The following is a 15,791-nucleotide window of genomic DNA, read 5'->3' on the forward strand; positions in this document are numbered from 1 at the left end:
TGGATGTCTTTGCCTCGTTCCTGATCTTAAGAGGAAAGCATTCAATCCTTCACCATTAAATAGTTTATTGGCTATGGGTTTCTTATAAGTACTTTATCAGGGCCGGGTGTGGTGGCTCATGCCTGTAATCCCAGCTCTTAGGGAGGCCAAGGTGGGTGGATCACCTGAGGTTGGGAATTCGAGACCAGCCTTGCCAACATGGTAAAACCCTGTCTCTACTGAAAATACAAAAATTAGCTAGGCGTGGTGGCTGGCACCTGTAATCCCAGCTACTCGGGAGGCTGAGGCAGGAGAATCACTTGAACCTGAGAGGCGGAGGTTGCATTGAGCTGAAATTGCACCACTGCACTCCAGCATGGGTGACAAGAGCAAAACTCCGTCTCAGAAAAAAAAAAGAAGTGCTTTATCAGGGTAAAAAGTTCCCTTTTATTCCCAGTTTGCTGAGTTCTTATCATGAATAAACGTCTAATTTTGTCAAATACTTTTTCTGCATCTACTTAGATCATACAGTTTTTCTTCTTTGGAATGACACAGTGAATTAACTTATTTTTGAATGCTGAATCTACTATGTTTTTCCAGAATAAATCCTCCTTAGTTGTGATGTATTATCCTTTTTATACATTGCTAGGTTTTGTTTTTTTTTTTGAGACGGAGTCTCGCTCTGTCGCCCAGGCTGGAGTGCAGTGGTGCAATCTCGGCTCACTGCAAGCTCCGCCTCCCGGGTTCCAGCGATTCGCCTGCCTCAGCCTCCCAGGAAGCTGGGACTACAGGCACCTGCCACCACGCCCGGCTAATTTTTTTGTATTTTTAGTAGAGACGGGGTTTCACCGTGTGTTAGCCAGGATGGTTTCGATCTCCTGATCTCACGATCCACCCACCTTGGCCTCCCAAAGTGCTGGAATTACAGGCGTGAGCCACCGCGCCCGGCCATACATTGCTAGGTTTGATATGCTAATGTTTCATTAAAGATTTTTGTCTATATTCATAGGAAATATTGTCAGTAGTTATTTCTCATAATATCTTTTTCTGATTTTAGCATCAGGGTAATGCTGATACTAAAATTCACAAAATGAGTTACAAAGTGTTCCCTCTTCTTCCATTTTCTTGAGGAAACTATGTGGAGTTGGTATTATTTCTTCCTTAAATATTTAGTAGAACTGACCAGTGAAGCCATCTGGGTCTGGAATTTTCTTTTAGAAAGGTATTTAGAAATGAATTCAATTTCTTTCCATCTTTTTTTTTTTTTTTTTTGAGATGGACTGTCGCTCTGTCACCCAGGCTGGAGTGCAGTGGCCCAATCTTGGCTCACTGCAACCTCTGCCTCCTGGGTTAAAGTGATTCTCCTGCCTCAGCCTCCCAAGTAGCTAGGATTACACGCATGCGTCACCATGCCTGGCTAATTTTTGTATTTTTCATAGAGACAGGGTTTCACCATGTTGGCCAGCCTGGTCTTGAACTCCTAACCTCAGGTGATCCACCCACCTCCACTTCCCAAAGTGCTGCAGTTACAGGCGTGAGCCACGGTGCACAGCCCCAATTTCTTTAACAGATATAGGACTACTCAGGTTTACCATTTCTTTTTGAACTGTGTCTCTAAACAGTAGAATTATTGACACTGTAGTTTATTTAGGATAATTATTTGTAGGAGGCTTAGCACATCCCTGGCCTCTACCCACTATGTGCCAGTAGCACCCTTCCAGTTGTAACAATCAAAAATTTCTTCAGGGCTGGGCGCAGTGGCTCAAGCCTGTAATCCCAGCACTACGGGAGGGTGAGGTGGGCAGGTCATGAGGTCAGGAGATCGAGACCATCCTGGCTAACATGGTGAAACCCCGTCTCTACTAAAAATACAAAAAAAAATTAGCTGGGCATGGTGGTGGGCGCCTGTAGGCCCAGCTACTCAGGAGGCTGAGGCAGGAGATTCGCTTGAACCCGGGAGGCAGAGGCTGCGGTGAGCCAAGATCATGCCACTGCACTCCAGTGTGGGCAACAGAGCAAGACTCTGTCTCAAAACAAAACAAAACAAAACAAAATGAACTATTTCTCGGCCAGGCACTGTGGCTTACACCTGTAATCCTAGCACTTTGGAAGGCCGAGGAGGGTGGATCCCCTGAGGTCAGGAATTGAAGACCAGCCTGTTCAACATGGTGAAACCCTGTCTCTACTAAAAAATTACAAAAATTTGGCTGGGCGCCATGGCTCACGCCTGTAATCCCAGCACTTTGGGAGGCCGAGGCGGGCGGATCACGAGGTCAGGAGATCGAGACCATCCTGGCTAACACGGTGAAACCCCATCTCTACTAAAAATACAAAAGATCAGCCAGGCGAGGGGGTGGGCGCCTGTAGTCCCAGCTACGCGGGAGGCTGAGGCAGGAGAATGGCGTGAACCCCGGGGGGCGGAGCCTGCAGTGAGCTGAGATGGCGCCACTGCACTCCAGCCTGGGTGACAGAGCGAGACTCTGTCTCAAAAAAAAAAAAAAAAAAAAAAATTAGCCAGGTATGATGGAGGGTGCCTGTAATCCCAGCTACTCGGGAGGCTGAGGCAGGAGAAATTGCTTGAACCCAGGGAGGTGAACCCAGGGAGAAATTGCTTGAACCCAGTGCAGTGAGCCGAGAACTCGCCACTGCACTCTAGCCTGGGTGACAGAGCAAGACTCCATCTCAAAAAAAAAAAAAAAAAAAAAAAAGGACCACTTCTCTTAAGTGAGCTTTGGCAGTTTGTGTCTTGTAAGGAATTGACCTATTTCATCTAAGTTGTCAAATTTATGGGCATAACATTGTCTGTAATATTTCCTTATTATCCTTTTAATGTATATAGATTCTATAGTAATATTCCCAATTTGGTTCCTAATATTCTTAATTTGTGTATATTTTTTCTTGGTCAGTCTGACTAGAAGTTTATCAATTTTATTGATCTTTTTTTTTTTTTTGAGACAGAGTCTCGCTCTGTCTCCCAGGCTGGAGTGCAGTGGCGCGATCTCAGCTCACTGCAAGCTCCACCTCTTGGGTTCATGCCATTCTCCTGCCTCAGCCTCCCAAGTAGCTGGGATTACAGGCGCCTGCCACCACATCCAGCTAATTTTTTGTATTTTTAGTAAAGACGGGGTTTCACCGTGTTAGCCAGGATGGTCTCGATCTCCTGACCTCGTCATCCGCCCGCCTCGGCCTCCCAAAGTGCTGGGATTACAGGCGTGAGCCACCACGCCCAGCAATTTTATTGATCTTTTCAAAGAACCAGCTGTTGGTCTGTTTTCTCTATTCATCTTGTTTTCAATGCTATTGATTTCTTATCTTTACTATTTCCTTCCTTCTGCTTGCTTTGGGTTTAATTTGCTCTTCTTTTCTAATTTCACAGGGTAGAAGCTTAGATCACTGATTTGAAAACTTTCATAATTTTCTATTATTTCAGTGCTATATATGTATTTTTTGTTTGTTTGTTTGTTTGTTTGTTTTGAGATGGAGTCCTGGAGTGCAGTGGCACGATCTTGGCTCACTACAACCTCCGCCTCCCGGGTTCAAGCGATTCTCCTGCTTCAGCCTCCTGAGTAGCTGGGATTACAGGCACATGACACCACACCCAGCTAATATTTGTATTTTTAGTAGAGACAGGGTTTCACCATGTTGGCCAGGATAGTCTCTTATCTCCTAACCTCGTGATCCACCCGCCTCGGCCTCCCAAAGTGCTGGGATTACAGGTGTGAGCCACCGCACCAGGCCAGTGCTATACATTTTTATCTAAGCACTATATCCCATAAATTTTTTCATCCCCTAAATTTTGACATTACGTTTTCACTCTAATTAAATTCAAAATATCTTCTAATTTCTTTGCTGTTTCCTCTCAGACACATGAATTATTTACAAATATGTTGTTTAATTTCCAAATATTTAGGAATTTTTCAGATATGAATCTGTTGTTATAATCAGAGAAAATACTCTGTGTAATTTCAATTTTTTTTTTTTTTGAGATGGAGTTTCACTCTTGTTGCTGAAGCTGGAATGCAATAGTGTGATCTTGGCTCACTGTAACCTCCGCCCGTTAGGTTCAAGCGATTCTCCTGCCTCAGCCTCCCAAGTAGCTGGGATTACAAGCATGCGCTACCACGTCCAGCCAATTTTGTATTTTCAGTAGAGGTGGGGTTTCTCCATGTTGGTCAGGCTGGTCTCAAACCCCAGACCTTAGGTGATCCTCCCTCCTCGGCCTCCCAAAGTGCTGGGATTACAGGCGTGAGCTACTGCGCCCGGCCTCAAATATTTTAAATTTGCTAACATTTGTTCTGCAGCCCAGAATATGTTTTATTTTGGTGAATGTTCCACGTGCTCTTAAAAAAGACCATGTATTAGGCCGGGCATAGTGGCTCATACCTATAATCCCAGCACTTTGGGAGGCTGAGGCGGGCGAATTGCAAGGTCAGGAGATCAAGACCATCCTGGCTAACATGGTGAAACCCTGTCTCTACTGAAAGTACAAAAAAATTAGCCGGGCGTGGTTGTGGGCACCTGTAGTCCCAGCTATTCGGGAGGCTGAGGCAGGAGAATGGCGTGAACCCAGGAGGCTGAGCTTGCAGTGAGCCGAGATCGCACCACTGCACTCCAGCCTGGGTGACAGAGTGAGACTCTGTCTCAAAAAAAAAAAAAAAAAATGACGTATTCTTTATTGTTAGGTACAGTGTTGTGAGACAGAGTATTCTACAACTTTCAACTACATCAAACTGACTGATCGTATTGATTGGCTCTTCTATGTCCTTACTGATTTACTATCTACTTGCTCTATTGATTATTTTGAAAGGAGTATTGAAGTCCTCAAGTCTAATTGTGGATTTGAGAATCAAGCACTTTAAAGGAACAAGTTTGCTTACCATTCTGAATCTGAGCCACTTTTTTAGAGATCTCTCCAATGATCTATTAAAAAAAAGTAATACATTTTAATAATTTTTGAATATGTTAGAAAGCACAGAAAAACTATAATTCAAAATTAGTATTTAAAAATACTTAGACTTTTGGTCTAACAGTCATTTAGATAATAAGAAGAAATGAGAGACTTGTTACTTCTACTGAAATCAGATTTACCCAGAACATACCTGTCGTCTCCACTTCTCAGCTTTAGGCAGTTCAGTACATTCTGAGGCCAGAAAGGGTCTTCGTTCCTAAGGAGAAAAAAATAACACATTTCCATTATACTATTTACAAGTTTCAAACAACATTCAGAACTGATTCAGGCCTTAAGCCTAAATCATCTAATGGCCTAAAAACATTTGAAGTTTTCATTCCAGATGATCCTCATCAAGCCTTAAACCTCATTCTACAATCTCTCCTTAGGAAAAACATTGATTGCATTGTATTTAATATTGGAAAGAACTTAACTGTCCTGCAATAGAGAGACAGCCAAACTAGGTTATAGCTATTTCATGGCATATTTATAGTACCTTAAGAAACAATGTCTATCAGTGTTTAAAACAAACATACATAAATATGGGTGTATTCATATACATGTGCGTATATAAAATTAAAAAAAAAATCCAAAGAATGGTATATATTATCTCTAATTTGGGTGAGTCTCTAAGAAATGAAATAATTTACCGGTTTCAGCTTACAGCTGTTCTCCACATCATACTCCAGTCCCTATTCAATATTAGAGCTGGAGTAATAAAGGACCCAGTCATCAGGCTGGGCACGGCGGTTCATCTCTGTAATTCCCACTTTGGGAGGTCAAGGCAGGCAGATTGCCTGAGGCCTGGAGTTTGAGACCAGTCTGGCCAACATGGTGAAACCCCATCTCTACTAAAAATACAAAAAAATTAGCTGGGTGTGGTGATATGTGCCTGTAATTCCAGCTACTCAGGAGGCTGAGGCAGGGGAATTGCTTGAACCAGGGAGTTGGAGGTTACAGTGAGCCAAGATCACGCCACTGCACTCCAGCCTGAGCGACAGAGCGTCCATCTCAAAAAAAAAAAAAAAAAAAAAAGGGCCGGGCCCAGTCATCATAATACAGAAGAAACTGAAAAACAAGCAGCCAGATCCATCACCCTGCCTCAGCTATGGGGAGGTATTGGAATTCAAGTGTACAGACTCTCAAGAGCGTCAGCAGGTACAGATAAGAAATAGGAAATTCTGAAGTTTGAAGTCTGTTGACCTGGAGTGCAGCAGCGCGCTCTCGGTGCACTGCAACCTCCGTCTCCAGGGCTCAAGTGATTCTTCTGCCTCAGCCTCAAGTAGCTGGGATTACAGGTGCCTGCCACCATGCCCAGCTAATTTTTGTATTTTTAGTAGAGATGGGGTTTCACCATGTTAGCCAGGCTGGCCTCAAACTCCTGTCCTCAAGTGATCCACCCCCCTCAGCCTCTCAAAGTGCTGGGATTACAGGCGTGAGTCACTGCACCCTACTTTTTTTTTTTTTTTTGACAGGTTCTCACTGTGTCACCCAGGCTGGAGTGCAGTGGCATGATCATGGCTCCCTGCAGTGTAAGACTCCTGCATTCAAGTGATTCTCCTGCCTCAGCCTCCCCAGTAGCTGGGACTACAGGCAGGCGCCACCATGCCTGGCTAGGCTAATCTTTGTATTTTTTGTAAAGAAGGGATTTTGCCATGTTGCCCAGACTGGTCTCAAACTCCTAGACTCAAGTGATCCACCCACCTCAGCCTCCCCAAGTATTGGGATTACAGGCATGAGCCACTGCACCCAGCCTGCATTTATTCTTGATACTTTACAATTCATGAGGAAGATTTACACCAACCTTCACTTTTCCCTCTTCCAGCTGAGCCTGGCGAAATCTTGCTAAGGCCGTCCTACCAGCGATATAAAAGATAAAAGACTCCATTAGATCCTGCTCATACAGACTTCTCATTACCCATGTTCCTGTATGGGGTAGATCTGCTTATGACCATATTTAATGTCATTCATATACAAATATTGTAATTAAGAAACCACAGAATAGTTAGGGATTTCCATGTTCTCAGGAGTAGGAATTATGAGGCAATTTGTATTCCTGAACACCCAAGAATCTATTTTACTTACACTACACATAAGGACTGTGGGAAACTCTACTTATCAGACCACTGTGATAAGCAATACATCCAGGTGTTAAAAGACTAACATCATGGTGTGTTCCCTGGCTGTCACTCTCACAACCCCTGCACCAACCACAGGTGAACAAATGTTCATCCAGTGTTTAAGTTCTGGAAACTGTGAGAAAACACATAAATGGAGAAAACAAATGGGCAAAAACAGGAATGTTTTTGCATATGTAAGAACATAACATATGTAAAGAAAGAAACAGCTTCTCAAAAGGCTCAGATACCAAAAAGAGGAAATACACAAAGAGTTACATGGTGGTTTTTAAGTTACAAAAAATTTACAGCCAAAAACAAGTTGATACTTACATGGCCTTTTCTGCATTTCGGGCCTGGAAAGAGAGAAAAGAGAAGAAAAATGTCCATGTTTAAAATATATTTTTTTCTTGCCCTTTACTTTTTAGTGAAAAGTTTTACAAGAATACAATCACAAGCAAACCACTTGAAGTACTATATGAACAACAATAAACAAAAATCAAAAGATGTCCAAATCCTGTGACCAAGGCTGCTCCTCCCTCTACTTAAAATCTTTACTCCTCCACTGACCCTAACACCTTGTATCTGGCTAACTTGCATTATTCTTCCTTCAAATTTTACTTGTGTCATGACCACCCAGAACATTATTCTGTGACCCCTTCTTCCCAGTTAGGCTGGTGTCCTCTATCAAGGATTATACTTACCATGGCATTTAACACCCAGCATCACAATTGCCTGTTCCCTGCCAGTGGTATTTGGGGAAAATAAGTCTGAAGACTGCCTTTCGTAAAGTTTTATGTAAGTTCTGTCACACTAAATGTCAACTCAATTATCCCTGAAACACAGTGTCCAACAGAGAACGAGTTTTCTGGGTTGTAGTCTAGGTAGAAAGAGTCCTGGCTAAGTCAGGGACTTACATTCCCAGTTCTTCCACTTACCATCTGTGAGAAGTAGTCTCTCTATCACTCAGTTTCCCCATCTTTACAATAGAGATCATACCTCATCTTACAGAGCTGTCACGATATCTTCATGAGACAAATACACCAGGCATGCAATTTATAGACACTCAGCAAAATCGAGTTCAATTTAAATCTCTTTTGAGATTCTCCCCTTCAACTGACACAGAAACAAACTTGGCAAATGCTTGGTAGATAGGCAAACACCGCAGTAATTTGGGATATACCTTCTCACAGAAACGGCTACTACTTTTTTTTTTTTTCTTTGAGACGGAGTCTCGCTCTGTCGCCCAGGCTGGAGTGCAGTGGCGCGATCTCGGCTCACTGCAAACTCCGCCTCCCGGGTTCACGCCATTCTCCTGCCTCAGCCTCCCGCGAAACGGCTACTTCTATTCCACTGGTTTCTCTCTTTTTCTTGGGAGCTTGTGCTCATCAATCTACAATGGCTTCCAATATATCTCTTATAACCTAACCATGACGCCCAGTGTTTCTTATAGGGGCTTCACTTAATGAAAATAATACAGTAGCCAATATTACGTAGTGCCGGTACCAATCATCTTTGTACCGGCACTACGTGTATTCTTAAATTTACACGTCGTAAATGCTTCTTGAAGAAATGAAGAAACCAACAAATGACGCCAGACCACAGAGAGCACACCCTCATAGAACACTTTCTGTCTATGCCATTCATTTATTCAATAGTTATTGAACATCTGCAACGACTCTGTGTCAGACATTAAGGAAGCAATAAGGAAAAGACCCTACCCTCGTGATGTCTGTATATTATGGAGCAGACTGAGAACGGACATAAATGAAATAATCCCAGAAACATATAGTCACAACTGCTCTTAATCTTCTCTGTGGTATTTAGGGACAAACAGCCGGCCCACACTATGCACCGTAACTCGGAGCGGGACCTAGTGCTTCTCTGTGTCTTAATTTCCCTCAGGTTAACCTAAAGAGCTTCATCGGGATTAAGACACTGTCCAGGACAGTAACGCGGCTCCCGAGTTTCCAGTTTTCCAATTTGTGACAGCTAATGGAGGCAGGAAGAGAATCCCCTCGTTACACCAAGGAACTTGAAGCCCTCAGCACTGCACGTCTGAGCCTCTACCGAATGAGCGCCCCAGGTGGACTGGGCGCCCCCCCGCCCGCCCGCCCATCCACTCGCTCCCTCACCCGCCCACCCTACTCACCATGGTGTCGCTAAGGGCGCCGTCCTGGAGCCCCGCGGCCCCTGTCCAAGAAACTCCACAGGCCCAGAAGACGCCGACGCTCACAGGAACTGAAGATTCCAACTACCCACAGACACTGATGTTTTGCCGGAAACGTAAAAGACAGGGACCGGAACTGAATGGGAGTACCGGAAGTGCCCAGACGAAGCGGACGCTCACAGAAACTGAAGATTCTAACTGCCCACAGACACTGTTTTGTCGGAAACGTAAAAGAAAGGGACAGGAAGTGAATGAGAGTACTGGAAGTGCCCGGACGAAGCCGACGCTCGCAGGAACTGAGGATTCTAACTGCCCACAGAGCCTGATGTTTTGTCGGAAACGTAAAAGAAAGGGACCGGAAGTGAAAGGGAGGACCGGAAGTGAAAGGGAGATCCGGCCGGGGATTGGGAGAGAAAATTCTGGCGCTCCGTCAGGCGGTCTTCCGGTAGCGCCGGCACGCGGCGTCATCACACGCAGACGTGTGATGGGGCTTTCGCAGAGGGACTGGCGGTTTTCGGACTCAGCCCAGGCGGCGGGTCTTAGTTCTGGAAACAGGAGTACTAAATGTCTTGTGTTCACTATTGGTACTGCGGGAGCAGGCGGCGCTGGGCGCGGTTATGTGGAAGGCTGAGTGATTGCCGCTACTCTAATCCCACCGGCTTCCTTGGTTCCTCTGTGAGAGCAAATATCCCCTTTTGGAAATTACTCGACCTCATCTCTGCGACGAGGGATCTACGGCCCCGACAGCTCCCCTAGTGGGAGCTGGAGTGTGCGTCCTGCAGGAGTTGGAGCTGGCCGGGCTTCGTAAACTCCTTCACTTTTCCTTGTCACCTCTTAGGGCCATTTCTAGTTTTTCTGAGCTGGTCTGTTGGAATCGCGGGGCCTTTCAGAGCTGGACGATGCTTGAGGTCATCCTCTTTTAAAATAAAAATTTAAGTTCCAGGCAAAAAGTGCCACTTAGGGGAGGAGGGTGGTTGGAGAAGTGCGGTCACTGTCCTGAGCACATCGCTGGGACCAGAAGATCGTTAGACAAAGACCAGGAAGACAGGAGAGGTCCCTGGTAGGAGACGTTCTGATGGTTACTCCCGCATGGTGTCAGCAATGAGGGGAACTGTGGTGGGGAATTCAGGTGAGGGCCCGCAGCAAATTCGGTTACAGCCGCTTTCCCCTTTCAAGCATGGTGCCTCAGCTGCAGGGACTCCCTCCACCACGGGACCTAACTAGTGATGGGCACCCTAGCAGCAGCCAGGAGGCACAAGCCAAAGAGAGAAGCAGCTGACATGTGGTTGAGGATCAGACAGGACAGGAAAAGTACTTAGAATAGTCAGCACAATCTCATACCTGAAATGTGACAAGTTTTAAGTGGGCATATGACCACCCACTACAGACCCCATCCTCCCACCTGTCTGGTTTATGATTATGGCCAATAAGAATCGAGTCAAAGGAATGTGTGTCACTTAGATGAAGCCATGACAAAAATATAATCCCTTGCCCTTTTCCTTTCTCTGCTGAGAGGTGTCCATGGGATCAGCCAACCTGAATTCAGAAATGGAAGTATTGTGAAGATGCCAGAGTTCCCCCCCTCCCAGCTCTGGAAAACTGAGCTCTGCAAAATGAGAAAAATAAAAACATGTCTTGTTAAGGCCTCTGCATTTGGGGGTCTTTTGTTCAAGCAGCTTCACTTTTACCTTAAATAGCTGATCTGAAACAAGCAGGGTCATTCCTCACTCAAATGAGGCCTTCTCAACATGTCCATACCACCTTTATCCATTACGTCCCTGACTCTAGGATGCAGAGATCACATATTAGCAGGATTCAAGAGGTGTTAGCTATGTTGTCCTAGCATCTGCTCCCCCTACCCACTTATCTCAGTTCCATTTGGGGAGCCCTCTGGTTGTGGGGAAGGCAACTGCATCCCCAGCTTTAAGTATGGATCAAGCACTAGATTAAGCTAATCCATCCATCCAGTCTCCCTAGGCATAGTGACTGGTGGGTTTAAGACCCAAGCTGACCTAGTCAGAATGAGTCTTGAGATCTGCTTGCAATGCTGGAGAAAATAGATCCTGCTGGATGTCAGACAAAAGGCAATACCAACTGTCAGCCACTTTAGAGCTCAGGAGACAAGATTTAGTGTTTGGTGACATCATTGGGTGGATGAGAATAAGGCCTTGCCTCCGGCCCACTTAAATCTTTAGTTATGTGAAGATTTATGTAAAATTGTTTAGGGTTGCAACCAGTAAGAATCAGACCTATCTTGCCAGTCTGCTAAATGGCCTTCCTTTCTCTGCTCACACTGATCTTGCCTTTCTTCATGATGCTCCTTTTGCCTGCAGCACCCCGTCCTTTATCCCCCCTGCCACTTGACTAATCTGACTGGTTGATGCCTACTTACCCTTTGAGACAGTTTAAACATCCGGGATTCCAATCCCAACTATGATCTGTCATTGGATCACATCACTAATCCTAAAGCAGCAGTTGTAAACTGGCCAGCAGGCTGGATTTGGCCAACAAAGCTGCTGTGATTTACATCGGATTACAAAAATTAGAAAATCTCACATACAGATGCTAAAGTGAGACAACATTGAGCCTACATTCCTGAACAGCAACCACACAGGTGAAAAAAATCTGATTTTATTAGTTCATGTATTTTAAGTTGGATACAATAACACATCAAATTGGGTGAAAAAAACTAATATTAAAAAGGTATTTTCTGGCTTCAGGCAGCACTTTTGCCTAACATTCACATATATGTCCCCTAGCATCCATGTAAGTGCCTCAAATGTTGTCCTCCACTAAACATGGATTCACTGGAGAGCAGGTATTGCAGGCAGAAAAACAGCCCCCCAAAATGTCCACATCCTAATCTCTGAAACCGTTGGTACGTTACCTTACATGGCAAAAGGGATTTAGCAGGTGCAGTTAAGAAGCTTGAGATAGGGCCGGGTGCGGTGGCTCATGCCTGTAATCCCAGCACTTTGGGAAGCCAAGGTGGGTGGATCACCTGAGGTCAGGAGTTCAAGACCAGCCTGGCCAACACGGTGAAACCCTGCCTCCACTGAAAATACAAAAATCAGCTGGGCGTGGTGGTGCACACCTGTTAATCCCAGCTACTTGGGAGGCTAAGGTGGGAGAATCACTTGAACGCGGGAGGCGGAGGTTGCAGTGAGCCAAGATAGCACCACTACACTCCACCCTGGGCAACTGAGTGAGATTCCATCTCAAAAAAAAAAAAAAAAAAAAAAAAAAAAAAAAAAAATTAGCCAGGCTTGGTGGTGGGCACCTGTAATCCCAGCTACTAGGGGGGTTGAGGCAGGAGGATTGCATGAACCTGGGAGGCAGAGGTTGCAGTGAACAGAGATTGTGCCACTGCACTCCAGCCTGAGAAACAGGGCAAGACTCTGTCAAAAAAAAAAAAAAAAAAAAAAAAATGGAGGGAGGGAGGGAGGGACGGACGGACGGAAGGAAAAAAGAAAAGAATGAGCACACATTAATTCCTGGGAGTCTTGCATTTTAAATGATTTAGAATTCTTCCATTAATTGTTCCTTATAACTGAAGTCTTCCAGGGTATCTATCATCCATGGCTCTCAAACCGTAAAAACCACTTAGTACAAGATTAATGGGGAACTTCAAGATGAATGGACAAAACTGAAATCACCGAACCAACTGATTATGATCACCAAAACTAAAACCTGAGATTTTGCACCTCTTGATGATGCAACAGTAAGCACACTGCATCTCCTATGATATATTCTTGTCTAAAAGAAAGAAAAAGAGGTCAGGTGCAGTGGCTCACGCCTGTAATCCCAGCACTCTGGGAGGCCGAAGCAGGCGGATCATTTGAAGTCCGGGGTTCGAGACCAGCCTGGCCAACATGGGGAAACCCTACCTCTACTAAAAATACAAAAGTTAGCCAGGTATATTGCTTGAACCTGCGAGGTGGAGGTTGCAGTGAGCCAAGATCACGCTCCCACAGCACTCCAGCCTTGGCGACAGAGCAAGACTCCAACACAAAGGAAAAAAAAAAAACCAGGCTGCCATGGTGGCAAGGCACCTATAATCCCAGCTACTTGGGAGGCTGAGGCAGGAGAATCACCTGGGAATCAGAGGTAATGAGCCGAGATAGCGCCACTGCACTCCAACCTGGGCAACAGGGCAAGACTCTGTCTCAAAAAAGAAAGAAAAAAAAAAAAACAGAACCTATGTATATAGGTTTATATATATGTAAAATCAACCTTCTGAATCTACCATTTTACAAAAACCACGGGGGTTAAAAATCATGTGAAACAATATCACAATGATACCAATCAGCCAAATATAGGTCATAGAATCAACCTCAGGTTTTCTTCAGTAAAGACAGGAAACTATTAGAGACTTAAGACACTTAAGAGACATTATGAAACACATGTATAGAGAGCATTTGGATCTTGATTCAAAAAAACAAATTAGAAAAAATATTTTCATCAAGTGAAGAAAAAAAAATTTTTTTGAGACGGAGTCTTGCTCTGTGGCCCAGGCTGGAGTGCAGTGGCAGGACCTCGGCTCACTGCAAGCTCCACCTCCCGGGTTCATGCGATTCTCCTGCCTCAGCCTCCCCAGTAGCTGGGACTACAGGTGCCCGCCACCACACCCGGCTAATTTTAAGTGAATAAAATTAAACACAGAGTTATGCATGCCACTAAAGAATTACTAGGCTGGACACAGTGGCTCTTGCGTGTAATTCCTGTGCTTTAGGAGGCCAAGGCAGGAGGATCACTTCAGGCCAGTAGTTTGAGAGCAGCCCAGGCAACGTAGCAAGACCTCATTTTTTTGGAGGCAGTCTCGCGCTATCCCCCAAGCTAGAGTGCAGTGACACCATCTTGGCTCACTGCAACCTCCACCTCCCGGGTTCAAGTGATTCTTCTGCCTCAGCCTCCTGAGTAGCTGGGATTACAGGCAACTGCCACCATACCCCACTAATTTTTGTATTTTTGGTAGAGATGGGGTTTCGCCATGTTGGCCAGGCTGGTGTTGAACTCCTGACCTCAGGTGATCCGTCCGCCTCAGCCTCCCAGTGCTGGGATTACAAGCGTGAGCCACGGTGCCTGGCTGCAAGACCTCATCTCTACAAAAAATTAAAAAATTAGCCGGGCTTGGTGGCACACGCCCGTAGTCCCAGCTACTATGGAGGCTGAAAGTGGGAGGATCCCTTGAGCCCAGGAGTTGAAGGCTACAGGGAGCTATGGTTGAGCCACTGCACTCCAGCCTGGGTGCCCATAGCAAGACTCTGTCCAAAAAAAAAAGGCAAAAACTTTAAGCTGAACCTAATAATTTAGCCTCCAGACCAGGAAATACAGAGATATAGAAAAACAAGTTAAACGGTACCGTAAGAAAACCAGTAAATAGAGGACATTCAAAAAAACTGTTGTAGCCTCCTAACAGTTAAGTTAGGAGAGTAAGACAAACTAAAGAAACCGATTAACCTGGCCGGGCACAGTGGCTCACGCCTGTAATCCCAGCACTTTGGGGGGCTGAGGTGGGCGGATCACTTGAGGTCAGGAGTTAGAGACCAACCTGGCCAACAGTGTGAAACCCTGTCTCTACTAAAAAAAATTAGCTGGGCTTGGTGGCAGGCACCTGTAATCTCAGCTACTCAGGAGGCTGAGGCACGAGAATTGCTTGAACCCAGGAGGCGGACGTTGCAGTGGGCCAAGATCATGCCACTGAGCTCCAGAGCAAGACTCCTTCTCAAAGTAAGAAAAAGAAACAAATTAACCTAATGCAACTCATAAATGCTGACTGGATCCTGGTTTGGAAAACGTAGCTACATAACACTTCTTAGACACAATTATGCTATTTGAATATAGTATTAGATATCAGATACTAGGGAATGTTTAGATACATTAAGTATGATAATGGTACTGTGGTAATGAGAACATCTTATAAGATGCATGATAAAGTGATGTCACGTCTATAACTTACTTTCAAACTATTGTTAACTCTAGATCGAGAACACATGGGGGGTTCATTGTACTGTTTTTTTTTTTTTTTGAGACGGAGTCTGTCTGTTCCCCAGAATGGAGCGCAATGGCGCCAATCTTGGCTCACTGCAACCTCTGCCTCCTGGTTCGAGGTATTCTCCTGCCTCAGCCTCCTGAGTAGCTGAGAATCAAGGCGTGTGACACCACACCTGGCTAATTTTTGCATTTTCAGTAGAGACAAGGGTTTCCCCATGTCAGCCAGGCTGGTCTCGAACTCCTGACCTCATGATCCACCCGTCTTGGCTTCCCAAAGTGCTGGGATCACAGGAATAAGCCACCACGCCCAGTGTGACTCCTTTTAGTTAGCCGGATTTCTCTGTAAAATACACATTTTCATGTTGCATTTGCTTTCCAGTCATCAAGGTCAATGCAAATAAATTTTATCTTATAAAGGAACACTTTGTAGTCTCCTGTGAATAGGTCCTTAATTATGTTGTTTCAAAAGGTCTCACAAAGCAACTAAAGTACTACAAATTCAGCACAAGGAATGGGTGCATGAAGCAAAGGAGTTCTAAATTTTAACCAACCCACTTTACTTTTTCCCTTCCCAACACACAAA

General features: G+C 45.0%; 2 protein-coding genes across 3 annotated transcripts in view, besides 3 other annotated features; both read right to left on the reverse strand.

Moving 5' to 3' along the window:
* Positions 1-9,287, reverse strand: part of ISY1-RAB43 (ISY1-RAB43 readthrough) — a 73,492-nt gene extending 64,205 nt beyond the window's left edge. Inside the window, exons 1-5 of the mRNA NM_001204890.2 lie at positions 9,197-9,287; positions 7,378-7,400; positions 6,732-6,783; positions 5,079-5,144; positions 4,857-4,899 (exon numbers count right to left, since the gene is read on the reverse strand). Coding sequence (NP_001191819.1) covers positions 4,857-4,899; positions 5,079-5,144; positions 6,732-6,783; positions 7,378-7,400; positions 9,197-9,199 — 187 coding nt within the window. The 5' untranslated portion in view covers positions 9,200-9,287. The remainder of the gene's footprint in view (positions 1-4,856; positions 4,900-5,078; positions 5,145-6,731; positions 6,784-7,377; positions 7,401-9,196) is intronic.
* Positions 1-9,287, reverse strand: part of ISY1 (ISY1 spliceosome associated protein) — a 33,649-nt gene extending 24,362 nt beyond the window's left edge. For both annotated transcript variants that reach the window (NM_020701.4, NM_001199469.2), the window contains exons 1-5: positions 9,197-9,287; positions 7,378-7,400; positions 6,732-6,783; positions 5,079-5,144; positions 4,857-4,899 (exon numbers count right to left, since the gene is read on the reverse strand). In NM_020701.4, coding sequence (NP_065752.1) covers positions 4,857-4,899; positions 5,079-5,144; positions 6,732-6,783; positions 7,378-7,400; positions 9,197-9,199 — 187 coding nt within the window. In that variant the 5' untranslated portion in view covers positions 9,200-9,287. The remainder of the gene's footprint in view (positions 1-4,856; positions 4,900-5,078; positions 5,145-6,731; positions 6,784-7,377; positions 7,401-9,196) is intronic.
* Positions 9,255-9,324: an enhancer, noted in NCBI's record as "active region_20503". NCBI's record gives its function as "activates an Ori minimal core promoter by ATAC-STARR-seq in GM12878 lymphoblastoid cells {active_cell/tissue: GM12878}" and the evidence as "EXISTENCE:reporter gene assay evidence [ECO:0000049][PMID:35858748]".
* Positions 9,485-9,824: an enhancer, noted in NCBI's record as "active region_20504". NCBI's record gives its function as "activates an Ori minimal core promoter by ATAC-STARR-seq in GM12878 lymphoblastoid cells {active_cell/tissue: GM12878}" and the evidence as "EXISTENCE:reporter gene assay evidence [ECO:0000049][PMID:35858748]".
* Positions 10,075-10,134: an enhancer, noted in NCBI's record as "active region_20505". NCBI's record gives its function as "activates an Ori minimal core promoter by ATAC-STARR-seq in GM12878 lymphoblastoid cells {active_cell/tissue: GM12878}" and the evidence as "EXISTENCE:reporter gene assay evidence [ECO:0000049][PMID:35858748]".

This window comes from Homo sapiens, chromosome 3 (assembly GCF_000001405.40).
Source record: "Homo sapiens chromosome 3, GRCh38.p14 Primary Assembly".
Lineage (NCBI taxonomy): Eukaryota > Metazoa > Chordata > Mammalia > Primates > Hominidae > Homo > Homo sapiens.